The following is a 25826-nucleotide window of genomic DNA, read 5'->3' as shown; positions in this document are numbered from 1 at the left end:
GTGTCAAAGTCAAAAAAGTATTTCTGAACAGATACAGATGTCAGGCCACAAAACTGAAGGCTTGTAAAAACAATGTCTATACTATATAGAGTTGAACCAGGCTGGCATCTTTATGATCTGGGCATCCACTAGGTAGGAGTTTACAGATACCCTAGTTTATCCTATCTGTTCTGTTCCAACCACTGGTATTCACACATTAAGTTTGCAGAAGAGGTTCTCCAGCTAGACTCACAGAAAGAGCTTCAGGACTAAATTCTGCAAAGACAAAAAAACAGGCTGAGTAGAAACTCAAACCCACCCAGGATAGATTACCTAAAGGTATTTCAGAGACATGTCCTAAGGTACCTCTTTTAAAGATATATAAAAAGGTGGTAGAAAGAGAAAGTCCAAAATTTCTGCAGAATTAAAACACACACAAAAAAGGTTGTTCTTTTGAGAGGGTATGGAAAGTATTCTAAATAGCATCATCTAAAATCTTTCCCCTCAAGAAGAAAAAGTAAAAAGTTTACAAGCTCAAATCTCTGCACTCCTCGCAGAAACCCCCATTTTGTTTGGCAGGCCTTCAGATGGCCTAGCTTAGCTGGCAAATATTCAAATACAGTTATTCAAAATATGTTAATGAGGCTAACGTGGTGTTTGCATCACATAACCCAACCCTCCCTTTCTTTGTGTGAACTGAACCTGTGCAGGTTAAAACAGGCGTGCCAAACACTTGCTAACTGAGATTACTGACTGTTGGCTGAGCAACTGCCAATTTAAAATAAGCAGTTAGGGAGAAGGGCTTTGCTCAAATGCATACTGTATTTAAAAATGGATACAGAGTTTCATTTTGATATTCAAGTGACTCCCACTCCCATATTCCTCTATGGGTATGAAAGCAAGCATTAACCATTTACATTCTTTAAGCACCATGTTCAAAGTATCCTAAAGATTCCAATGTACTTTACAAGTACTTTTTTAAAAACAATTTTCCAGTGAAATGTTTTTCATTCCACAAATGAAGAAATGGAAATAGCATTTACACATTGCATAGATAGGGATAACTGGAATCAAAAGTAGAACTCAGTTATTTTATCTGAGTTAATATACCTATTCAACAACATCTTCAGCACAATATCAAGTATTTCTTTTGTGGGTAAAATAAAATCACAAAGCAACTAACTGCTTGTCTTTGATTTGCACAAATTCTCAAAATTTGAATATTTCCCCCACAAAATCAGACTATCTTAACATTTTCATTCATCTTTCTCCCAGTCTCCCCCCGGCCCCGACCCAAAAAAAGGCATTGGCTTGTTTCTTCATCCACACAGACATTCCATACATAGCCTGAATTTCAGAACTTAGGCCATGCAGCTTCATGTTCAGCAGAACAGAAAGCACTGGTTCCCAAAAAAAATCTCAACACCTCGCACTCCCAAAATTAGTCTCCAAATCACCAGCCCTTATGTAGGAAAGCAGGATCCAGTATCATAAACTTAAAAAATTAAAGGAGGGTTGGAAGAAAGGTATAAATGAGATTACACTCTTACCCATGGTGACTCATTCTCATATGCTCAAGATTAAACAGAGCACTGAATCTAGGATGAGGAAAGAATTTTTTCCTCAGGGGAAGAAAGGGGTGTGGGATTTCCAAATGTGCACTACAGTAGGATCAGCTGTGTGGATCAGGTGAGCAAATCCCACATAATTAACTTCCTACTACTGTGAAGGAGCAAACACAGGTGAGGCGCACGCCTTCCTGAAAGGTATTTGCATAAAGACCCTTCTGTTGTTTCCAATGCTACTGAGATTGAACGGTGAAGCAGGAGAGATTGGGCTGGCACAACAATCTGAATACTTAACCTACTGTGCCGTGCACTTAAAAATGATTAAGATGGTCAAGTTTATGTTATGTGTTGTTGTTGTTGTTGTTTTGTTTTAAACACAATTGAAAATAAAAATTAAAAAGGCAGCAATTGGGATGAACTGCTCCACGAGACAGCTAAAAGGCTCTGGAAATGTGCAAGGGTTTGAATGCTGGAAATCACAGCAACCCACTAAAGATGGAGGTGGATATAGAAATGGTAATGAGAACAGCTCTGGTCTGGGCATCAGGAAGCTGTGTTCTAGTCTTATCTCTGCATGCTGAAACCAGCTGGCCTTGGACTCAGGGTATTTCCTAGGCCTAAATTAAGAATAGAAAGAGTAAAAAATGTTTTTCTTCTTTCATTAAGAAAAATTAGCCTTTATCCTCTTTGAGTCATTTTCTTCTCCTTGAGGTATTTCAATAAAAATCTCGAAGAAAATCTGTTCTGCTTTGGAAGTACATGGTTTAGAAAAACAACAGATCCTGTTTGAAAACAAACAGATGTTTTCAATGCTAGAACTTAGTTGAAGGATGAAAAATATTTCAGTATCTATGTTTCAATTTCACTTAGTAAAAGCATGGGCTTCTCAACATATAACTAATTCTCCAACTTGGGGCAAAGCACATTTGCTAAAAAATGTATTGTGCATAAAAGCTACTATAAAAGAGTATTTTTTAGTTATTTAAGAATCACTGGCATAAGCAGGTAGATATTAAAGATTTGGAAATCTCTGAGTATTAAAAATTATAACTTAAAACAAAGAAATAATGAATAACAATGTACTACACATTTTAAGTGAATCTATGCACATTTTCTATTCAAATATAAGTAAACAAAAATATTACAAGGTCAAATATGTATATTATAGTTTAATGATAAATCTTCTACACTAAGTTTTTTTTAAAAGAAACACTTCCCTTTAGTAACTTAGGCAAAGGGCAATAAATCTGCTTACCTAATATTTTGTAACCCTTTTTTTCTCTATACTTTAAACTCAAAATGGAAAACTGTAAGTTAAAATACCCCCACTGAAAATTTATAAGTGATTTCTCAATGTTGCATTTGGATAGCTATTTAATGTTATGCTTCTCTCTAAGAGCATTTACACTTGTTTTCAGAAAATATAAATATTCATTGGAAACACCCATCACTATGTTAAACAGTATATGAGTTAGAATAAATAACAAGGAAGAAAAAAAAATCTGAAAAAAAGTTAGGAATACTCAGAGGCTCATAAAAAGGAGATACACCAAGATATATACCAAGTGTACGATTTTAAAAACAAAAGAAAGCAAGAAAATAAGGTCACCTGAAATGAAGAGAGCAAGTCCTGAGCCCAGTCTTCAAAGTGCAGGGTACAAGTCACAGGAGTCTAGCCTTCCTTGATTGAGTAAATGGAAGAAGCTGGTTTTGGGTCTCCACCAGCATACAGCAACAACCCTTCTATTCACTTCAGAGCAAAGTGATCTACTAACTAAACTTACTCGGACTCTCAGTGCAATGAGAGGGTGTGGTAGACACTTCGTACAATAACAATAATGATCCTCAACACTTACAAAGCAGATATGAAGATTCTATAAAATCTTGTGAGCAGATGGCAGGGAGAGAACATGAAAGACAGTAAAAAGGATTAGCAAGCTAGTTAATATACTATAGTGGTGAAAAGTTCTAAAGTACAACCTGGGTTTCTAGAGCATGTATGTGGAAAAGTCAATACTTTAATACAGAGATAATTAGAATAAAGAAAGAATGATTTAACAAATGCTGGTGATACTCATCATTTTATAAGTAACTTCCAAAATTCTCTCTCTCTTTTTTTTTTTTGGTCAGGATCTCTCTCCAAGGTTACTGAATTGAACTATAAAGTTCCCCTATGGAAATAATATGTCAAAAAAAAAAAATAAGAATAGCTGTCTAGTAGCAGAGTGCATTCAGTAGGTAGCTGGAAATCAAGTACTTTATTCCTCTGCTAGGATTAAGTAACCATTCCCACCTGGTCCACTTCTTGACCAATTTTCTAAAGTGGAGTCAGTCTGTCTCTATTGCTCTTTCTCTAATGTGGACTTTAAAATCAAAGTTTAGGTTAAAAGAGATAGATTAGAAAACATACATTTAACACACACATACACAAACACAAAGTTGGAAAGCAAGAGAGCTTCTTCAGTCAAGTAGACCCACTTTTGGTGTTCTTTTACAAATCAACCACACCTCAACTAACCAAAAATTAGGGCAAATCAGACATGTATTATAAAAACAATGGGAAAGAATATTAGAAATGAGAACTATTCCAGGAAATCTAGACAATACTTTAATAATATGCTTTCAGATCCAATAACCAGAATAACCAGAACTTCTGGTGAACAGCTAATCCTCCTTCATCTCTCCTCTTCATCTTTAAGCTATTCATAAACTCTTGATTCAGGAATGCACATTCTTTTTTAAACAGATACCTACAAAACACTTTCTTTGATTTAATCATGTCTTTTGAGTTTCTTGGCGACAGTTAGGTACTTTCTCATATTCTAACCTTTCTAAAAATTCCTTTTCACTTCTGTAATCCTCTCAATATGTCGTCTTTGGAGGACAGTTTGATCTCATTCACTGCCAGAAAAAACTAAACGCTTATCTTTTTAAGCAGCACAGCATACTCACTCCCTTCATCTCACAGAAGAGAGGTTAAAGTTACTCTCTCAGTTTTGGTTCTTGCTTTCTTTATAAGTATTTACTTCTATTGAATTTTATTTCTTGTCTCTTTTTCCCTCTATGCCCAACTCAGGATTTCTCCAAGAATAACCTAAGGACCATCTACTTCAGAATCAGCAGGGGTTCAAGTTAGAAACTGCAGTTTTCTGGACCTCTACCCAGACTTAATAAAAACATTAGAAGGAGGGTAGGGCCCAAGAATCTTCACTTTAGAAGTTACCCAGTGATTGTTATGCACACTGAAGTTTAAGGACCACTGACTGCTCTAGACCCTTGTTTTTTCCCAACCAAATGACACAAGGACTCTGCCAAGCTATAAGTATCTTAAGATCATCTGAAAAGAGAAAACTCCTTAACAGTTCTCTCTTTGCATTCCTTCTATTTGCCTTCCTTCTAAAATACACATGGAAGAGGAAAGAAAGCTTGGAGAGTGGGCTGAATATGAGACATCAGCATAAATGCAGACTTGTCAGCCCTGCTCTGTGGCTGCTGCCAATTACAGTAGCCAGACCTGCAAGAGGACTTGATTACATGTAATTTATAAAAAGTAAACAAGCTGGGTGGCTTGTGAACAATGAATGGTGATATTGCAGCCAAGAGGTAATAAAATGCATGAATAAATGACTCAGCATCCCCCTACCAGACAACAATTGGCTGTACTCTAAGCTAGGAGAGCAAAGTAAAAATGAGTATTTTGGTAATGATTTAAATGACAACAGATCCTTGGAGAGAGAATTTGCCTATCACCTAAACCCTCTAGTGATCAAAGGCTCAGCCATCTCAATGACTGTTTTTCTCAAACATTACTTCAGTCAGAAAAATAAATGTTTGCTTCCGGTGCTATGACACAATCCAACTGGCAACATAGGGAAATATACTAAATGAATAAAATAAATGTAAGAACCAAGCTTTATGAACCCCTCTATATGAGGATTTCTCAACTTCAGCACACTGATATTCTGAGCCAGATAAATCTGTGCAATAGAGTGTTTAGTAGCATCCCTGCTTCTACCCACTAGATACCAGAAGCATTCCTCCCTCCAGCTGTAGCAACCAAAATGTCTCCAGAAATTGTCAAATTGTTATGGAAGTGCTGGGACGGGAAGAGCCTGGTCCCTTTAAATGATATGGAAGTGGGGAAGGGAAGTGCCTGGTAGAGGAAGGCGTGGTCCCTGACTAGGGATCCATCCCCACGAACCTAGGTGAGGATAGGCACTCCAGCCTTGCCGCCGAAAGGTCACCTTTCCAAGACCACCCTGGCCGGCCACGCCCCCATCCTGTGCCTATAAAAACCCCCCAGACCCTAGGTGGCAGACACAAGCGGCTGGACATCCTGACGAACTCGTTGGCGGGAGAAGACACCGCGGAAGAGCACCCGCAGGCAAGCTGACCATCGACTGGCCGAACAACTCGGGGTATGGCCGGAGAAGCTGGAGAAGAGTCAGGCGGCTGAGTGGCCGGACTCCAGGGGAAAACCATCTGCCTTCTGGCTCCCCCATCTGCTGAGAGCTACTTCTACTCAATAAAACCTTGCACTCATTCTCCAGCCCCACGTGTGATCCAATTCTTCTGGTACACCAAGGCAAGAAACACTGGGATACAGAAATCACTCTGTCCTTGTGATAAGGGAGGGGGTCTAACTGAACTGGTTAACACAAGCTGCCTATAGACGGCAAACTAAAAGAGCACCCCGTAACACACGCCCGCTGGGGCCTCAGCTGTAAACTTTCACCCCTAGACACTGCGGTGGGGTCAGAGCCCCTCGGCCTGCCGGTCTGTATGCTCCCCTAGAGGTTTGAGCAGTGGGGCCCTGAAGAAGTGAGCACATCCCCATTGCATGCCCTGCGAGGGGGACAAGGGAACCTTTCCTGTTTCAAAATGTCCCGTGGAGGGGACAAATCACCTACCCACCTCTACTAAAAACTGCTGTACACAGAAACATCATGAAGAAATGTGCGTAGTAGTCAAACAGCTCATAGAACACATTTTTTTACATAATCAATTTTTGCTCCTAAATACATATTTTTAAATATATTTTATATAAATCTATACATAATTTTTTTCCCATTACCAGGGCCTAAAATACAAAGTCTTTCTTTTTTTTTTTTTTTTTTTTGAGACGGAGTTTCACGCTTGTTGCCCAGGCTGGAGTGCAATGACGAGATCTCGGCTCACCGCAACCTCCGCCTCCCGGGTTCAAGCGATTCTCCTGCCTCAGCCTCCTGAGTAGCTAGAATTACAGGCATGCACCACCACGCCCAACTAATTTTTGTATTATTAGTATAGACGGGGTTTTACCATGTTGGCCAGGCTGGTCTCTGTCTCCCGAACTCAGGTGATGTGCCCGCCCCGCCTCCCAAAGTGCTGGGATTACAGGGGTGAGCCACTGCGCCCAGCCTAAAACACAAAGCCTTAAGAGTGTTTTAGTGAGCTAAGCCATGATAACAGTGCCACATGACAAAATAACTGAGTAACTCCTCACCGTTCTTAGTCCCAATCAGGCAGTTGACATATGCTGTCAACTTTATCTTAAAAGTATTTCTGTTCATTTAACAGGGCCAACGTATCCATCAGACAGAAGGCACAGTGCTTGGGGCCCATGATACATTTAGGAGCACACAAAAAGTGTCTTAATATTTTCTTTTAAAAATCAGCTTCTTTTCCGAGAAAACACCAAATGGCGGATGACGCCGGTGCAGCGGGAGGGCCCGGAGGCCCTGGTGGCCCTGGGATGGGGAACCGCGGTGGCTTCCGCGGAGGTTTCGGCAGTGGCATCCGGGGCCGGGGTCGCGGAGGCAAGGCCGAGGATAAGGAGTGGATGCCCGTCACCAAGTTGGGCCGCTTGGTCAAGGACATGAAGATCAAGTCCCTGGAGGAGATCTATCTCTTCTCTCTGCCCATTAAGGAATCAGAGATCATTGACTTTTTCCTGGGGGCCTCTCTCAAGGATGAGGTTTTGAAGATTATGCCAGTGCAGAAGCAGACCCGTGCCGGCCAGCGCACGAGGTTCAAGGCATTCGTTGCTATCGGGGACTACAATGGCCACGTCGGTCTGGGTGTTAAGTGCTCCAAGGAGGTGGCCACCGCCATCTGTGGGGCCATCATCCTGGCCAAGCTCTCCATTGTCCCCGTGCACAGAGGCTACTGGGGGAACAAGATCGGCAAGCCCCACACCGTCCCTTGCAAGGTGACAGGCCGCTGCGGCTCTGTGCTGGTGCACCTCATCCCTGCACCCAGGGGCACTGGCATCGTCTCCGCACCTGTGCCTAAGAAGCTGCTCATGATGGCTGGTATCGATGACTGCTACACCCCAGCCCAGGGCTGCACTGCCACCCTGGGCAACTTCGCCAAGGCCACCTTTGATGCCATTTCTAAGACCTACAGCTATCTGACCCCTGACCTCTGGAAAGAGACTGTATTTACCAAGTCTCCCTATCAGGACTTCACTGACCACCTAGTCAAGACCCACACCAGAGTCTCCATGCAGCGGACTCAGGCTCCAGCTGTGGCTACAACGTAGGGTTTTTATACAAGAAAAATAAAGTGAATTAAGCGTGAAAAAAAAATCAAAATAAAAAATGAAAAATAATATATAACTACTCCAGGTTAGAATATTTTAATCTAGGAAGGGGGGGACCTATGAAGGCAAATGTACCTGGGGCTCACAAAAGTCACAACATGGCCCCACCATGGGAGGGGAAATAAGCAAGTAAACAAGCAAATATCAAGTGTGGCAAGTGCTATGCTATGAGAATAACAGAGCATGACAGGAGGACAAAACAGATGCTCCCAGCACAGTATGTCTGTGTGTACATGTGGCAGTGGTGGTGGAGTTCAGAGAAGGTTCCCAAAGTTAGCCTGGTTGTGAGACAGAAAAGAGAGTGTCAAGGACTCCTGGAGGAGAGGAGAGCATGTGCAAAGGCCCGGAGAGAGAGATCTCAGAGCTGATCTGGACCATGAAAGTTCAGTATAGCTGAAGGGGAGAGACTGAGTGGAGAAGGAAGCAACAAACACTACTGGATGGATGTGCTGCTGCCACATAAAGGGCCATGCAAGCCAAGGGAAGAGGCAGAGGCACTCCGAAGAGCAAAAGAGCGCGGCAGAACAGCTTCGAGCTATGGAATGGCATTATCAGATTGGTATTTCAGAAAAGTCACTCTGGCTGCCTTGATAAGACAGCTAAGAGGGGCCCAAGAGGAGGCAGAGAGCAGCAACTGCAACTGGCTATTGCAGCAATCCAGAAGAAAGGCAAATATCGCCTAGGCAAGAGTGGCCAATAAATCAAGATACTTGGAAGGTAAAACCGACAGGGTTTGGTCACTGGGTGTGGAGAATGAGAGAGAGAGAAAAGTCAAAGAAAACCTTCTGGCTGAGCCACTGTACAAGGAACAGCCAAGAGGACCAGGTTTAAGGGAAAGGATGATAAGATCTGCTGTGGGCATTCTGACTCTGAGTTGCTGTGGGCTATATAAGCAGTTTTGGATTTAAACCATTAGAGCCATAGATCTGGAATGAGAAATGGGCTGAGAAAGAGTACTCAAATTATCAACATATAATTCAGGGCATTTAACTAGGTGTTAAGAGCCATAGATGAGCTTTAAAGGTCAGAAAACATCCAAGATTATAATAATGTTTGTGTATAAGTTAGTAAGAGTTCTTATGGGAACTGGGAGCCTCAAATTTTCAAAGGAGTTCACGATTTCACAACAGATGAAGAACCAACTAACAAAGATGAAAAGAGGAGGAGACCAACCAGGGCTAGCACTGGAACCCTCAAGAACTCCAACACTTAGGAACATCAGAGACTGGTGTTTAAATAAGGGTGATGGAAAAAGGACCCAGCTGTATTCCATTATGAAATGAACAGCAGGTGAAAAAGAGGAAGAGCCAAATGTAAACAACAATGCAAGAGTCTGGCTGGGAAAAGGAGAAACAGAAATCAGATCTTACTCCAGCCTCATCTTTGAAAACTGAATCCATCTTTTAAGGTGCTGGTGAAATGCCTCTTGCCACCTTCATTAAGCCTTCACAGAGTACCTGAATTAACCTCTCTGCTGGATTCTTCTACCAGAATGTCTCACACATCACTGATCATGATGTAATTTGTAGAACTAAGTGCAACCTATGTCCCCTAGCAGCACACAGCTCTCAAAGGTGAAAACAGTGTTCACTTGGTCCTCTTCTTTTGCATTCTTCACAGTGCCCTGTTCATGTGGGCATTCACTCTGACGGAAAGGATTTTATCTGGGAGGGGAGAGATGGACCCCAACAGAACAACTGGTTAAGTAATATGACTTTGGACTAATCAATTCACCTCCCTTAGGCTTATTTTCATTCCCTGTAAAAGGAGTGGGTTGGATTCTTGACTGGTGGAGAAGGAGATATGTGTAATTAGAAAAAAGTTTCAATATAGCTATTGTTTTTGTAATGCAAATCATAGAAAGTAAAACTGGATTAAAAGCCAAAGGACACTCAAACAATACATGAGAGAGGAGTGGGTTAGAAAAGGTTAAGAAACATTGGACAAGAGAATTTACAATTTTAGGCTCAAAATTCTACAATTATTTGATTGTGCTGTTCAAGAGTATATGCAAGGCACCATACTGTATATTTGAGACAAGAGAACAAATGCCATCTCTGTCCTCTGGAAATTAATATCCTATTACAAACACCGAAGAATGATAAATGAAGCCATAATTTTCACAGATTCCTGTGTATATACCTTTTTCTCTGTATACTGTGGGTCACTATGAAAATCAACTAGAAAAATATATTACGCTTGCTTTTCCCATTTGAAACAGTCAACATTTATAAATTTGACTCTCAACTATTTGACTGCTTAAAGGAATAGAAAGAAAAATAATACCGTTCAACAGCACCAGTTTAATTGTGTGCCTTTTTCTTTGGAGGTAAATGACCTACATACCCAGCAAAGATTACTCAGAAGGCTTTGGTTTTATGTAACAGCATCACTAGGAACAAAGTACCTTCCCAAATATTTTACATTATTAGGAGTTCAATATTTCCTTTTACCTTTTCTCAACACTTCAAACATTTAAACCTGAAACTGTCAAGAACATGTAAAGTAAATAATCCTACATAACTTTGGGGTCAATTATAACTTTGCCAGAGGGTAGAGGGTTCAAAAAATACCTCCCTAGCTGAATGAGGTAATCGTTCCTCATCAAGCTCTACACAACAGCACTGGAATTCAAAACGCTGAAGGTAGCTTTTACCTAGTATCTCTCTTACAAAAGTCAAAGATTAAAGCACTTCTCTCTCGATAATCAAGGAGTCATCCCTCCACCAGCACCTTAGTCTTGGCAACTCCAACTCTGGCCACAGCAGTGATGGGAATGTGCTAAGGACTGGAACTGGGAAGGCACACAGGCAGGTAATTCTTTCATCAGGTAGTCATCTCAGGGAGGAGTTCTGCCAGTCAGAAAGTGGCCTAACCACATTTCCCAATACAGCAGTAACTAAAAGCTGCATTTCAGGAGAGAAAAACATCTACATGCTAGTTGGAACATTATTATTTCTATTCTTGATTACTAAGTAAGAGTGACACAAATTAACACTCTCTTTTTAGAGAAAAGTTTCGTGAAAGAATGTGTGTGTAAAGATTGGGACACAAATATTTTGTGATTTTTGATGTCTAGGCTTATATCACAGAGAAGCAGAAATGAATAGGAAAAGAGAGAGTAGGGAACTATGGCACAGAGTGCTTTTACCTTCCTCTCATTTAAAAAGTTAGCAAATAAAATGTTACAACAACTGGCTGGCTAATGAGTTAAATACAACAATAAAAACTACAACGAGGCAAGAGATCACTTGGGGCCAGGAGTTCAAGACCAGCCTGGGGAATGTAGAGACCCTGTCTCTATTTTCTATTTAAAACAAAAACTACAACAAAATGAGTTGAGTTCTTCCAATGCTTATGTCCAGGATTTCGTTTCACAAAAGCAAATGTGAAACTTGCTTAACTTAAATTACATTTACCTGCTTATTTCATGTTTAAATAGCTAAATATCTCTAGGCAATAATGATAAATAACCAAGCAATGTAAAAGTAAGTTAGAAGACCTTGGTATTATTTGACATTTTGCCCCTCTTCTGACAGGAGGATGGCCTCCTCTCACTTTTCTCTTGAAATGTAAAATGGAAGTTTGATGCTTTCCCCTACGTGCAGTATTCTTAAAGAAGTATGTATAAAGCTGTTTTCAAAATAAATTTAAACTACATGAGTCAAACCAAAAGAAAATAAATAAAAAAGGGAAAGGAAAAACAACAGGATAGTTAAAGCAAAGTTTAATATTTGTCTTCCTAAAAAAAGAAAGGCTTAATATTTTTACATTGAAATGTTTGGACTCTTGGTATGTTGTTTTTAATTCATGAGACAATGTGGCCATTTGTTTTTTCCTCTTAGGACATTGTTTTTTGAACACATAACTTAAGAGAACTACCTAGGCCAAGTATGAATTCAAAGTAAAAAGCTGGGAGAAAAGAAAACCACCATCAGAAAAGCACTTGGTAAATTTGGCATTCTTTCTAATATATAAAAATAAAAGAAAACTCAGTTTAGAAAGATGATAAACATTATTGAAACACACACTAAGAGGTGAGGAAAGAATGATTAAATGGTAGAAAAAAGTTAACTCACATTTCTCCTTCTAGAAGCTCTATTCCTTTATAACTTATATCCTTCACGTGCAGTTTGCATATAGTAGCTCTGCTAAAAACAACCACATGGAAAATTTTTGTTCCAGATAATACTGCAGGACAGGGCTTGGCAGCTACAAGTTGTAATCAGAATGCTTCAAGAGCTAATGTAACAGAGATAACAACCAAACATGCATTACAGTGCATAGTCTTAATTCTTTTTAAAAACGGGCTGGGAGAAGGTCAAAAGCTCTTAGGTTATAGTGTACTTTATTCAGTAATGCGACCTTTTAAACTAGGGAGAACTTCGCTCCTATGAATAAGTGAATTGCTTAAAAGAGAAATGATTCTTTTTTCCAGTTAGGGCATTCTTCTATTATTTAAGATGCTCAAACATAGAAGCCTAGAATGAGCAAAAAATTCCAGTTCCTAAAAATGACTTTTCTCAGCAATTCTACAGGCCTAAATTGTCATCTACAATTTATTGAGGCTCCTATAGCCATCCCACTGGCAACGGAAGAGCCTAGTTATTTAATAAATATGGAAATCCACAGTACAATGGGCCACTTTTTGCCAGGGGTAATATAAAAAAGAAAGAATGCTAATTTTATGTGTGTTATACCCCAAGAGGGGAGAATAAAGAGAACTGTGACTTGATAAGTTTTCTGTATTAGTTGGCAGACTGAGATAAAAGGAGTCACAGAAAGATCGTGACTTCAATCCAAGTTCAAATGGCAAATTCAGATGGAGCTCTAACTTGGTGGAAATTAGGCGCCATGTTGATGCGAGGAATGTGAAATGAGAGAAACCCCTCCATCCACAGGGAGAGGGGGTTTCATGTGATCCGTTGGTGTTATTCTCTCCCCCCCAACACGAGCTGGCACTCACACAGCTGGGCTAAGATGGCTTCCAAAGTCCGAAATAAGACGCTAGCCCAAGGCAGCCCTGGTCCTGCTGCTGGAACTCAGAAGCAAATGAATCAAAGGCTCTTTTATTCTCCCTCCCACCAGAACATGCTCCCTCTCTGTTGTAAACTAACTGCTTGCCAGAATGAATTACTTAGCTTAAAACAGACATAAAGAAATCTTAAACAACTCATGTCCCTTGGAATTTTAATAAGTTCAGGTGACCAAACAAGTTGTTTTGTTCATTTCTAGTTTGATGCAGAAAATTCACTTGTGCTCAGGAACCCATGAGGAACATTAGATCTTAGCAGAAACAAAAACTTCTCAAACTAGAAGATACAGCTGACAGCCAAACTCCTCACATGAAACTGGGGTGCTGGGAAGCAGTTTTTTTCATGAGGACATCTAAACTCAACACAAATCTTTGTTCTTCCTTTAAAACCAGCCCTCCCTTAAGATTTTGCTGTTGCTGCCAGCAGTACACCAGCTCTTCTAAAAGCAAAGTGTAAAATTCATTTGCGGAGTCTTCCCTGGCATCTCGTACCCCTGCATCCCCTGTTCTCACTCTAAACTTTCATTTGGCAACTAATCATATATCATAGCTCCTATAAAATGACTGACAGCTTGTCTTCACAAACAGATTAGAAACTCCTTAAGGGCAGAGAGTGGGCCTTTCCTTCCTTGCATTCCACACATGGCACATAACAAAAGCTCCTGCGATACCTGTTTATTATTCAGTCAACAGGCATCTGTTGAGCTCCTACTCTGAGCCAGGCATTGCACAGGGGCTCAAGACACAGCACCCAGCCCAGGAGCACAGCAGCCAAAGGCCCTGCATGCAGGTCTGCCTTCAGTTAAAAACCAAGAGTCCCCAAAGAATACTGCTTAAGCAGTCACTAAACTATTTAAGATAAATAGTAAAGATTTCCCCACAAGGAAGATTTATGTCCCCCAAAAATTTATGTTGCAGCTTATTGAAGAGCTCCCCATTTGTCCCTTCCACCCAAGAAAATGTCTGAGAAGAGGAACGCTAAACTGCAACAGGGCTTCTGCTGAAGATCTACAGCTCCTCCCTCCCCCATTTTACAGGTAAGGAAACTGAGGATCAGAATGGTCAAATGCTCCTGTGGGTGGGTAATGGCAAAACCAAGTAGAATCCGGGTCCTGACACTCAGTCTGAGTTTCCTTCCACTATAGCAAAACATCCCCACTAAAAGCATCAGTGGGTGCATCAAATTACATTTTAATACAAAATTCTTCAAAAGTAAAGTAGTAGCCCATCTACTACAATGCTCCTTCTGGCTGTCAGTCTCTGTAAGAAAATTAGGACTGCTGAGTACCTAACACATGTTTTGAATCTATCACCTCTGGCTGGGCACGGTGGCTCACACCTGTAATCCCAGCACTTTGGGAGGCTGAGGCGGGCGGATCACCTGAGGTCAGGAGTTCGAGACCAGCCTGGCCAACATGGCAAAACCCCATCTCTACTAAAAATACAAAAAAAAAATTTGCCGGGCGTGGTGGCAGGAGCCTGTAATCCCAGCTACTTGGGAGGTTGAGGCAGGAGAATCAGTTAAATCCGGGAGATGGAGGTTGCAGTGAGCCATGAGCCAAGATCATGCCATTGTACTCCAGCCTGGACAAGAGCGAAACTCCATCTCAAAAAAAAAAAAAAAAAAAAAAAAAAAGAATCTATCACCTCTGAAACTTTCTCAGTCTGCAAATTGTCAATAGCTTATCTACATATTTTTATGTTAAGTCTAAAATATGGGATTTTACTTACTCTCAAAAAACGCTGTGTGTTTTACTCCTTACATTTTTAAGCAGGTTATGGCAAAATACACTGAAATAACCAGTCACTTGTCAAACAGATTATCCAACTATAACTCTTGCCACTTTTTGTTCCAAGATGATCTCTTAAAAAAATAATTTTAAAGAGCCAGCAGAATTCTCAAACTACCCCCTCCAAACTAATGCACCTTCCTAACAGTAATTCTGAATCTCAAAAGGTAGCAATCAGATTTGGAGATTCAGCAAGTTGCACGTGGAGAGTTCTACACTTATCATTCAGCCCAGGCACAACAAATGAACTATCATTAACCATCATAAAGGCTTAATGTAATTGCAAGTTGATGATCTCTGTTAACAGAAAAAACATTCTTGCTACACTTGAAAAGGTAAAAACATTGGGAGTCTGAATTATGTTTACTAACATGAGGATGGCAAGAAAAAATTTCCTTCAATAGAATAATTATGCTTATTCAGTCACTGTAAGCAGAAACATCAGAATCCATTGATTGCTAGTGGTAATTGTCAAAAAAGGATAGGAAGAGCTTCTAGACATGACAGTCCTCTTTGTTGTAGTGACACTATTGAGCAGGGGTTTCATGCTTAGCACAGGTCCTGGGTTGTCCTTGAACCAAGGAGATGCTGACACTTGGCCTGCCCACGCCCCTCTCCTCCATGTCAGATGTCAGGTGCCCACCCAGTAGGAGAGGCTATTTCTGTTTCTAGGCCCATTTCCAGAACCAGGGGTGTGTTTTTGAAGTCCAGACAAGAGTTGTCCTGTTAATTGACAGCTGCAGAGCAGACAGAGAGCCCACGCTGGGTACAGATTACCTACCTAAGAACTGGCTGGGGCCTTGCTACCAGGCTGGCTGTCAGCTAACAGGCCACCTTGCTCTGGCCTCAGAAGCAGGTTCTCCTGCTGAGATTGTGCACCTGCCCAATGCTGACAGCTGGGCTATGGAGGAGCCCAAACTTAGTGTTTGGGCTTCAGGCAAGGAAGCTCCTCCTCCAGAGCGATGGTGGTAGCCAGCTGTCTTGAAACAATACTTTATTTACAGACTTGCATCTTATTTCAGCTAAAATTTCAGGTTCTGATGAAAATTTCACCATCATTTCTTTAAATAATTCTTTAAAAATCTGAGCACCATTGTTGAGTGCATACTACCAAGACTTTACTTGTTTTCTGTAATCCTAGTGACAGTAATCTGTTTATGATTCCATCAGGTCCTTAACAAAGTAAAAAAGCAGCTGTTTAATATATAACACAGCATGAAAACAGCAACACCACAGTAGCAACCCTGAAAAGAAGCATTAAAATTTTCACCTACATTTTAAGTAGATTTTAAAAACTTCCAGGAGAATGAAACACATACAAGAAAGAACCTTTTGCGAATATAGAAAAAATTAAAAAGAGAAGGAAAAGCTGGGGAATCTGCTGACTACTCTTGACTTTCATTTTTTTGTGTGTCATTCTTTAGAAAATTCAAGAAAAGCTTACACATCAGACTAACACACTAGCGTGTACAAAAAACAATCCTGCTTGAGTTGACTATGAAACAGTAAACATAAAACGGAGCTGTAAATGGAATACATTGGGGGCCATATATGAGATGGCTTTAAAGCTAAAACTAAAACAATTTAAGGCCAGGCGTGGTGGCTCATGCCTGTAATCCCAGGACTTTGGGAGGCTGAGGTGGGTGGATCACCTGAGGTCAGGAGTTTGAGACCAGCCTGGCGAAATCCCATCTCTACTGAAAATACAAAAATTAGCTGGGTGTGGAGGGGGATGCCTATAATCCCAGCTACTGGGGAGGCTGAGGCAGAAGAACTGCTTGTATCTGGGAGGCAGAGGTTGCAGTGAGCCGAGATAGTGCCACTGCACTCCAGTCTGGGTGACAGAGCAAGACTCCATCTCAAAAAAAAATTAATTAAAAAAAACTAAAACAATTTTTTTGTCACTTAAAAGCCCTTATGGATCATCTTAATCAGTGTTCGGACTACCCTATAAATGCTGTAAACAGTGAGACAACTGTCAAAGTCCCATGGGCCAAATATTTCCAAACAGAATCATGATGCTCAAACTCCCTGAAGTCTCATTTAATAATTATAGTATCAAGCATCCAAGATATCTTTTCATAGCAAATCCATTCATTACAAATCATTATCCACAAACATTTTGCCTACTGGGTGGCCAACAATGTTTCCTTTATCCAGAAAAATAAACATTCTACATAAAAAAAACAAGCATAGGAAATGCACGTATACATGTCTATATCTTTGATGGTCAAAGCTACTTTAGCAAAAACCATCTAAACTGGACAGCAAAGCCAAAAGATCAATAATCTGGGAATGTCAAAATCTTCTGGGCCACCAACCTGACAGGTAAAATACAAGCCTTATTTAACCTGACAGTTAAATAAGCCTTATTTAACTCATTACACTCCATGCTGGTTTCCTCTATTCTGACAGCCGCCCTGTCTACTGTCTTCCAGGACTATCTCCATCTACTTTATTCGTGGGTAAAGAAAACACCAGTGCTACACCAGGCAAAGAAAATCCTAGTTTCTCCCAAGCTATTAGGCACATTCATCCTCCTGTGGAAAACACAATGTAGGCAGCCCACTGTCTCTCTCAAATGTTCCCATAGTTTCAGTCTACATTGAACTTGTTCCTCAGAACAGCCAAAAAATACCCATACCACTCAACTTAGACACACAGTCATATACCACTTTGCACTGTTGGCTTTTTCACATATACTTGTCTCGTGGTCCCAAAGACTCAAAGAGCTACTTAAAGGCAAAGACTAGGTCTTACATTTCTTTAGCACTGTGCACCTGATCCATAGTCCACCTCATTCTTGTATTCTCAACTAATATTCAGAGTCAGGAAAAGTTATAATCTGAAAGGACCTTTATTTTGTTGTTGCTATTTTTGAGACGGAGTCTCACCCTGTCATCCAGGCTGCAGTGCAATGGCACAAACTCTGCTCACTGCAACCTCCACCTCCCAGGTTCAAGCATTTCTCCTGCCTCAGCCTCCCCAGCAGCTGGGATTACAGGCGTACACCACCACGCCCGGCTATTTTTTGTATTTTTAGTAGAGACAGAGTTTCGCCATGTTGGCCAGGCTGGTCTCCTGACCTCAGGTGATCCACTGGCCTCGGCCTCCCAAAGTGCTGGGATTACAGGTGTGAGCCTGAAGGACCTTTAGAGATAACCTAGTCTAAGCTCCACATTTGAAATGAACTAGGTGAGAGTCGTTAACCTTTTACAGTCCAATCAATCAGGCAGATCTGGGTTCAAATGCAGGACTGTTTTCTGTAAAATAGAGATGACACCTACCTCAGAAAACAGTTGTAATGATCAAATTATACTTTCCTTTTTGTTTTTCTTGTTAAGACATAATCTTTTTGGCTGATTTCTTTCCTGGTTAATAGTTCAATTGAATTCTAAGCCCAAGAGGCAGGGCTTTTTTCCTTTTTCCTACTGTATTTTGTGACCTTATGGTTGGTGTCTAATACAGTGCCTGGCGTCTTTTGAGTGAGCCATGAACTAACCATGTGAAAGAATGAATTAAACCTATATTATCACTTTCACGTTCAGCAAATATGTTATTCTTTAATTCCTCCAAGAATCTGTTTTTCCTAAATTGGGCCTTCTCAAAACAAATATATTTATCTCCCTACCCCTTTCTCCCTTCCTTCTCTGTCACATACACACACACACACACACCCCTACCTTTCTCTTTAGAACAGCTGGAAAAAAAAACACTGCCTCGTTCATATTTTTGGAATAAAGTTAGCATTTTTACTAGGATATTCAGGAAAACTGATAGATGGACAGGATTTGGAGGCATTACACATCTCTGGAGAGCTTTCTTATGATTTGTGGCATCGAGTCTTTCAATAAAATTACTTGTCTATAATAAATTCTGGCAGAAAGTAAATCAGAAATTCACTGGTGAGTTGTCAGTGAAGTTAAATACTTCACTCTGTGTACTTCACTCTGTTCTATACAAGCAAACAGTGACTAACAGGATTAACCTGAGCTCTAATACTGGGTGTAGATATTCCTCAACGACAAACGGGTTCCCTTCGTACAGGCATTAAATTTATATTATATTTAAGGGGGCATAAATTTTGCTTTTGCAAACACATTTTACTAGAAAAATATTTGATCCAGATGTCAGCACAAAAGTGTCATTTCTTTCCTTTGCAAGGGAGCAGCAACAAAACAACCAATGGGGAGGAAGAATAAGATCCCAGACCTCTGAAGAGGACACAGGTTTCCACTAAAGCAAGGTTGATACTTTCAAGGAATATTTTTCCTAACAGCTAAAACGGTTTAACACATAGCATCTTGTATCAATTACACAAACACCATTAAAGCCACTCTGGTTCCCTGGGAAAGGACCGCAACTGAAATCCCTTCTGGCTTCAGCTGTCCCCTCCTGCCGAGTTTGACAGCACATCCAAGGCGCCCAAACACCAGCCACTAGGCTCCCCCCCAGCGCCCTCCTCTCGCAGCAAACCGCCAAGGCTCCCGGGCCAAACTCCAAAGTCCCTCAATTCAAAACCGCGAAAATGTGAACCCTGCTAAGCAAACGGCAGGGCGCGTAATAACTTTTCTTTCTTTCCCTTTTGCGCGCGTTCGATATGCTTGTCTCTACTACCAACTCCTCAGCTCCACAGCCCGCTTCCCGCAACCCATCTCGAGGGGCGGAGGAGAGGGAGCGCCCACCAAAGAAAGGGCTAGTGAGCCCTAAAACCTCGGCAGTTTTCCCGGTGCGGGAGCTTTAGCACACATCAGCCCAATAATCAGATGCAGGAATAAAGCAGGAAGAAGGCTCCTCTCTCCATCGCACCCCATCCTTCCTAAGGAAGAAAAAAAGCATGCAGCAGGAGTTTAGCTGGACGTCTAGGTCCTTTTATGGGGCGAACAGGCCCGCAAAGCAGGCTGTCTGGAACCTGGAGGAAGAAAGTTGTCCGGCCAAGTGGATGCCTGGGCGTGAGGGAGTGCAAGGCACCCTGTCCCGAGCCCGCCAGGGGTAGGGGCCAAGGGGAAAGAGACCGGCATTCGTTTAAGAACCAGCCCCGCGCGCGGCCAGCTGCAGCCGCCGGCGAGCCGACTGGGGAGGGGTGTGGACGCCGAGGCCCGCGGAGTGGTGCCCGCAGCTCTACTTACATAACGCTTCAACTTTTTCTCCGGGGGGGACTTGCGGAGCCATCCGGAGCAGACCACTTCACCACCGCTCATGGTGCGCGCGTCTCGGGCTCCGGGCCGGGCAGCTGAGGGGCGGCGGGCGCGCTCCCGACACAGCCGACGCCTGCCGAGCGCGCAGTGGCGAGAACCTAGCTCTCCTGGTCGCGCACCCCGGACGGACTGGGCGGACAGACTCCACGGTGCGCGGGTTCCACGAGTTCGAGTCTCTCCTCTGCAGGCCCACGAACCTGAACAGAACGCGAGCCGGGGCCGCGGGCGCGCCGGCCTCCTTTCAGTGCGCCCGCCTCGCCTCCAGACGTGCCGTCTCGCCAGCTGCCTCAGCAGCGCTCGGACTCAGCGGGACTCTGCCCCGACTCGGTGCCGGAGCTTCTGTCCTTTGCGCTCCGCCCCCTAGGGACAAGACCTCCCCAGAGCGCTTTCCGAAACAGACACAGCGCTGCTCACACACACACACACACACACACACACACACAATGCCCCGCGCGGTGCCCGCTCGCCCGCCCACCCGCCCTCGGTTTCGATGCGCCCGGAGCGATCCTCCTTCCCTCTCCTCGGGGGAGGGTGGGTCACTTCGCGGCGCTCGGTGAACGCCGAGGAAAGGGGAAGCCGCGAGCCGCCTACGGGCAGCGGGCGCGGGGCTGGTCCCGGGTCACAGAGGGAGCCGCAGGGTTGGCAGCGAAGCGCGGGGCGTTTCTGAGCGGCGGGCGCAGGGAGGTCGCAGGTCAAGCCGGAGGGTGGGTCCGCTCTCGCGGCCGCCGAAGAGGGCGGGGAGCAGCAGAGGAACGAGGCGCTTGGCGGCTTGGCTCCTGGGAGGGATCCCGCTGTCCCGTCCCCTCGCGCTCCTCCCCCGCCGCCTCCCCCACCCCGGGGCTCGCGGCAGGTCCTGAGCGGCTCGGCCCCAGATCCCGATCCCTCCCTCCCTCTCCCGGCCGCCGGGCTCCTTCTTCCTCCCTCTCCTCCTCCCCTTCCCACGTTCAGGCCCGGCTCCGGTTTCTGCCCAGACTTTCTCTGAAACTCCGCCGGAGTGCTTCCAGCCAAAACAACAAGGGCCGGGGGAGGAGACGGACGAAGGGAGGGAGCAAGGGAGGGAGGGAGCGCGAGTCCGAGAGGCACCCTGGGATCTGTAGTTCGGGAAGCAGGAGCAGGGTCCTCCGCCGTCCGGCGGCCCCCAATCGGCTCCTCGCCCGGGAAGACCGCAGAGGCCTCGGCTAGGGCAGAGGCACCGGGGCTTGGGCGCGGGGAAGACTGAGGGACATTCGAATGTTCAGTCCGGGGCTTGCCATCTTGACTCAGCCCGGTGCCAGCTCGGAGCTTGTGCTGTGCTCGAGATCAGGAGTTTCGAGGGTTTTCTTTACTTGAGAGCCTGAAAGGCAAAACCGCGGGGAGACCACCATCCTGCCGGTCCCCGCCGCGCGAGATTAAAGGACAGACCAAGAGGGCGCGGGAGCTACCAGCTTGGAGGGGAGGACAGATGGGGACCCAGGGCTGGCCAGGGCTGGTCTCTGGAGCTGTTCTGCCAGAGTGATGGGGGCGCTTGGCGAGGCCAAGGATTTGGTTGGGTCCTATCTCTGAGACATTTTGAAGTCTCACACCCCTTCCATTTGTTGCCTATTCCACTTAACTTTGTATTTGTTTGAAATCTACTGTTCGGATGCTGGACTAGAAGAGGGACACTTGGCCGGGCGCGGTGGCTCACGCCTGTAATCCCAGCACTTTGGGAGGCCGAGGCGGGCGGATCAACTGAGGTCGGGAGTTCAAGACCAGCCTGACCAACATGGAGAAACCCAATCTCTACTAAAAATACAAAAATTAGCCGGGCGTAGTGGCGCGCGCCTATAATCCCAGCTACTCGGGAGGCTGAGACAGGAAAATAGCTTGAACCCGGGAGGCGGAGATTGCGGTGAGCCGAGATCGCGACACTGCGCTCCAGCCTGGGCAACAAGAGCAAAACTCCGTCAAAAAAAAAAAAAAAAAAAAAGAGAGAGAGAGAGAAAGAAGGAAGGAAGGAAATTTACTGGGTACCCTAGTTCTATTTGCCTACTTCCTTGTGTGTTTCACAATTATTATACTGGTCCTGAGTTTAACATGATTCTGTAATAAACATCTTCTCCAATTTATTTGTGAAAAAGCCCCAAAGCCAATTTCAGCAGATAATATAATCAGATAAAAGTGCTAAAAATATGACGACATAAATGAGCATTTCTGGAAAGACATAACTTCAGTCATTTTCTTATTAACACAACATTCATATTCTGAAGCTCCTCTGAGTTTGAAAATGTTAGATGATTGTAATAAGAAATTAGGTGCTGGAGTGGTGACAAGACAAAGATCCCTGCATATATGGAGGTAGTGGCATAGGGTAGTAAGCAAATAAAGAGTCAACAAAACTACAGATTGAGACTCAGTCTCAAAAAAGAAAAATCTGAAAAAGCCTGGTTCCCACTGGGGTTTAGAGACCGTCATCTTTTGGCAGGCACTTAACAGTATCACAAGGGCGGAACTTCTTGCAGATCTGGATGCACTTTTCAGGTCATCAACTGAGTAGTCGTGACCTTGGGTAAATTACACAATGTCTCTGAGTCTCAGTTTCCCGATATGTGAAATGGGAATTGCAACACCGATTTTGCAGAAGTTTAATGAGAAATAGAAATGGTAGTGTTGGCCAGGTGCGGTGGCTCACGCCTGTAATCCTAGCACTTTGGGAGGCCTAGGTGGGTGGATTGCCTGAGCTCAGGAGTTTGAGACCAGACTGGGCAACTCAGTGAAAACCCGTCTCTACTAAAATACAAAAAATTAGCCGTGGCGGCGTGCGCCTGTAGTCCCAGCTACTCGGGAGGCTGAGGCAGGAGAATCGCTTGACCCGGGAGGCGGAGGTTGCAGCGAGCCGAGATCGCGCTACTGCACTTCAGCTTGGGCGACAAAGCGAGATTGTGTCTCTAAAAAAAAAAAAAGAAAAGAAAAGAAAAGAAAAGAAAAGAAAAGAAAAGAAAAGAAAAGAAATGGTAGTGTTGGTCGGTTAGTCGGGCGCGATGGCTCGCGCTTGTATTCCCAGCACTGTGGGAGGTCTAGGTGAGCAGGTCACTTGAGGCCAGGAGTTTGAGACCACCCTGGCCAACGTGGTGAAACCCAGTCTCTACTAAAAACACAAAAATTAGCCGGGTGTGGTGGCACGCGCCTGTAGTCCCAGCTACTCGGGAGGCTGAGGCAGGAGAATCGCTTGAACCCAGGAGGTGGAGGTTGCAGTGAGCCGAGATCGTGCCACTGCACTTCAACTTGGGAGACAGAGCGAGACTGTCTCTGAAAAATAAATAAATAAATAAAAAGGAAAATGGTAGTGTTGGTTGGGCGTGATGGCTTGCACTTGTAATCCCAGCACTTTGGGAGGTCTAGATGAGCAGGTCACCTGAGGCCAGGAGGTCGCGACCATCCTGGCCAACGTGGTGAAAACCCAGTCTCTTCTAAAAACACAAAAATTAGCTGGGTGTGGTGGCGCGTGCCTGTAGTCCCAGCTACTCAGGAGGCTGAGGCACAAGAATCACTTGGACCCGGGACAGGGAGGTTTCAGAGAGCTGACATAGGGCCACTGCACTCCAGCCTGGGTGACTGAGTGAGAGTCTGTCTCGAAAAAAAGGAAAAAAGAAATGGTAGTTTTAAATATCAGGCACATATTAGATATTGTAGGATTTTTGCTGTTTGTTGCTGTATTTCTTAATGTTCTTTCTGAAACATAAACAAGCGTAATTTTTATGGCAGCTAATAAACCAAAGCACTTCTTTTTAAGTATGTGAATATAAATCATGCCACAAATCTTCCAAATGAAAATAAACCATCAAATTTGTTTTCCTCTTCTCCCATAGGCAGCATGTAGCTACATTGAGCCAAAAGTATAATTAGCATTAGTAAGACTAGTATTGTTGAGTAGTTAACTATTGGCTTTAGCAAATTTACCATTTCCTACACTCTTGTTATAAAGTTCTTTGTAAATGGAAAATTGTAATATATCTTGTATTATTTAGCTTTGGGAATTTCCACAAATTTTTTTCTTTATTTCAAATAAGGCATTCAGTTATCTCATTCCTATGTAAAAAATCTTTAAGTGTTTTTCCTATCTTCTACTGAGTTGTTTTAGGCTTGTATTTCTAGAAATTAAATCAGGGTTGAAGAGAAATTGAAGATAGATATGTCTCCATGTATATATTTTAGAAAGGAAATTTGCCTTATTTTTATATGTCATGTTTAGATTATTTGTTAAATCATATTTTATATCTTTATGCCTTAAAAGGCACGCTGGAAAAAGTTATTATATGTTAGTATCTTAAATTTTATTCATACAACGAATATTTATGGGATGCCTATTATATGCCAGTCCCTGAGGACCCAGGATACAGTAGGGGAAAGCCAGACCTGTTCCCACACTCCTCTTTCCTAGAGAAAAGCTTTTGCAGATAATTAACCCCATCATTTTGGCAATACAGTTGATAAATGCTATGGAAGAAAATATAGTGTTGTTTGGGCATATAACAGAGGATGTACCCCCCAGGAGTAGGGCGGTAGGTTGGGAAGGACTTCCCTGAGGAAAAGACTTTTTTTTTTTTTTGAGACGCAGTCTCACTCTATCTCTCAGCCTGGAGTGCAGTGGCACAATCTTGGCTCACTGCAACTTCCGCCTCCTGGGTTCAAGCTATTCTCCTGTCTCAGCCTCCCAAGTAGCTAGGATTACAGGCGTGCACCACCACGCCCGGCTAATTTTTGTATTTTTAGTAGAGGCGGGGTTTCACTGTATTGGTCAGGCTGGTCTTGAACTTCTGACCTCAGGTGATCCACCTGCCTTGGCCTCCCAAAGTGCTGGGATTACAGGTGAGAGCCACAGCGCCCGCCAGGAAATTCAGGCTTTAAATTGAGATCCTCAGGATAAGAAGAAGTTGGCCTGGTGGACATAGTAAGGGAGAGTATTCCAGACAAAAGAGAAGGTGCAGGTGTACAGGTTTTCAGGCTGGAAGGAGCATTTAATGAACTGAATGAAGGCAGCAGTGGGGTGAATGATGGAGACATTGGCACTGGCTGAGGTACAGAGGCAGGCAAGGGACAGATTGTGCAGGTCCTTGGAGATCTTCAGATTTAGACATTTTCTTGAAGCAAATGACCATTTCATCTCCTATGACATTCAAATCTATCCAAATCAGGCCGGGCGAGGTGGCTCACACCTGTAATCCCAGCACTTTGGGAGGCCGAGGCTGGCAGATCACCTGAGGTCAGGAGTTCGAGACCAGCCGGACCAACATGCAGAAACCCGGTCTCTACTAAAAATACAAAATTAGCCGGGCATGGTAGCGCATGTCTGTAATCCCAGCTACTCCAGAGGCTGAGGCTGGAGAATCACTCGAACTCGGAAGGCAGAGGTTGCGGTGAGGCGATATCGCACGCCATTGCACTCCAACCTGGGCAACAAGACGAAACTGTCTCAAAAAAAAAATAAAAAAAAGAAAAGAAAAAAGAAAAATCTATCCAAATCACCTCAAGCAATCATCTTTGTGCATTTTGTTATTCCCTTCCAGCATCCCACTTTAGCTATACATCTTTCAACTTGATTTTTCAATATCTCCCTATGTAATTATTCCTTCTTCTCAACAGCTTTTCTAGTCTATTAAGACTTGTGCTTTCCCGTGATCTATCAGACATTTCCTTTCTTCACTCCCTTCTCCT

General features: G+C 43.4%; 1 protein-coding gene, 1 non-coding gene and 2 pseudogenes across 7 annotated transcripts in view, besides 7 other annotated features; 2 read left to right on the top strand and 2 right to left on the bottom strand.

Annotated features, from left to right (window-relative positions):
- The window catches only part of GAB1 (GRB2 associated binding protein 1), a 137690-nt gene extending 117221 nt beyond the window's left edge, over positions 1-20469 (bottom strand). For 2 of the 5 annotated variants that reach the window (NM_207123.3, NM_002039.4), the window contains exon 1: positions 20085-20469. In NM_207123.3, coding sequence (NP_997006.1) covers positions 20085-20156 — 72 coding nt within the window. In that variant the 5' untranslated portion in view covers positions 20157-20469. Of the gene's footprint in view, positions 1-3156; positions 3324-12209; positions 12290-20084 lie in introns of those variants that run through there. The other 3 variants (XM_047449969.1, XM_017007969.2, XM_017007970.2) reach the window with 2 other exon arrangements.
- Positions 7205-8107, top strand: RPS2P20 (ribosomal protein S2 pseudogene 20; annotated as a pseudogene).
- On the bottom strand, positions 13810-13885 carry MIR3139 (microRNA 3139). The gene has a single exon (NR_036091.1). It is a non-coding gene; the product is annotated as a microRNA 3139 (primary transcript).
- Positions 19730-20543: an enhancer, noted in NCBI's record as "H3K27ac-H3K4me1 hESC enhancer chr4:144257955-144258768 (GRCh37/hg19 assembly coordinates)". NCBI's record gives its function as "activates a minimal SCP1, AML or CMV promoter by ChIP-STARR-seq in naive and primed H9 embryonic stem cells {active_cell/tissue: H9 hESC(naive and primed)}" and the evidence as "EXISTENCE:reporter gene assay evidence [ECO:0000049][PMID:30033119]".
- LOC124900789 (uncharacterized) lies at positions 20155-20710 on the top strand (annotated as a pseudogene). Its single transcript, XR_007058287.1, has one exon. The product of XR_007058287.1 is annotated as an uncharacterized LOC124900789, transcript variant X1 (transcript).
- Positions 20573-20622: a silencer, noted in NCBI's record as "silent region_15720". NCBI's record gives its function as "represses an Ori minimal core promoter by ATAC-STARR-seq in GM12878 lymphoblastoid cells {active_cell/tissue: GM12878}" and the evidence as "EXISTENCE:reporter gene assay evidence [ECO:0000049][PMID:35858748]".
- Positions 20693-20752: a silencer, noted in NCBI's record as "silent region_15719". NCBI's record gives its function as "represses an Ori minimal core promoter by ATAC-STARR-seq in GM12878 lymphoblastoid cells {active_cell/tissue: GM12878}" and the evidence as "EXISTENCE:reporter gene assay evidence [ECO:0000049][PMID:35858748]".
- Positions 20853-21152: a silencer, noted in NCBI's record as "silent region_15718". NCBI's record gives its function as "represses an Ori minimal core promoter by ATAC-STARR-seq in GM12878 lymphoblastoid cells {active_cell/tissue: GM12878}" and the evidence as "EXISTENCE:reporter gene assay evidence [ECO:0000049][PMID:35858748]".
- Positions 20853-21260: a biological region, named in NCBI's record as "ReSE screen-validated silencer GRCh37_chr4:144257238-144257405".
- Positions 21093-21260: a silencer, noted in NCBI's record as "fragment chr4:144257238-144257405 (GRCh37/hg19 assembly coordinates)". NCBI's record gives its function as "represses an EF-1alpha promoter that drives an FKBP-Casp9 reporter gene in an ReSE screen in K562 erythroleukemia cells {active_cell/tissue: K562}" and the evidence as "EXISTENCE:reporter gene assay evidence [ECO:0000049][PMID:32094911]".
- Positions 21453-21662: an enhancer, noted in NCBI's record as "active region_21941". NCBI's record gives its function as "activates an Ori minimal core promoter by ATAC-STARR-seq in GM12878 lymphoblastoid cells {active_cell/tissue: GM12878}" and the evidence as "EXISTENCE:reporter gene assay evidence [ECO:0000049][PMID:35858748]".

This window comes from Homo sapiens, chromosome 4 (assembly GCF_000001405.40).
Source record: "Homo sapiens chromosome 4, GRCh38.p14 Primary Assembly".
Lineage (NCBI taxonomy): Eukaryota > Metazoa > Chordata > Mammalia > Primates > Hominidae > Homo > Homo sapiens.
This window is presented reverse-complemented; position numbering and strand designations above follow the sequence as displayed.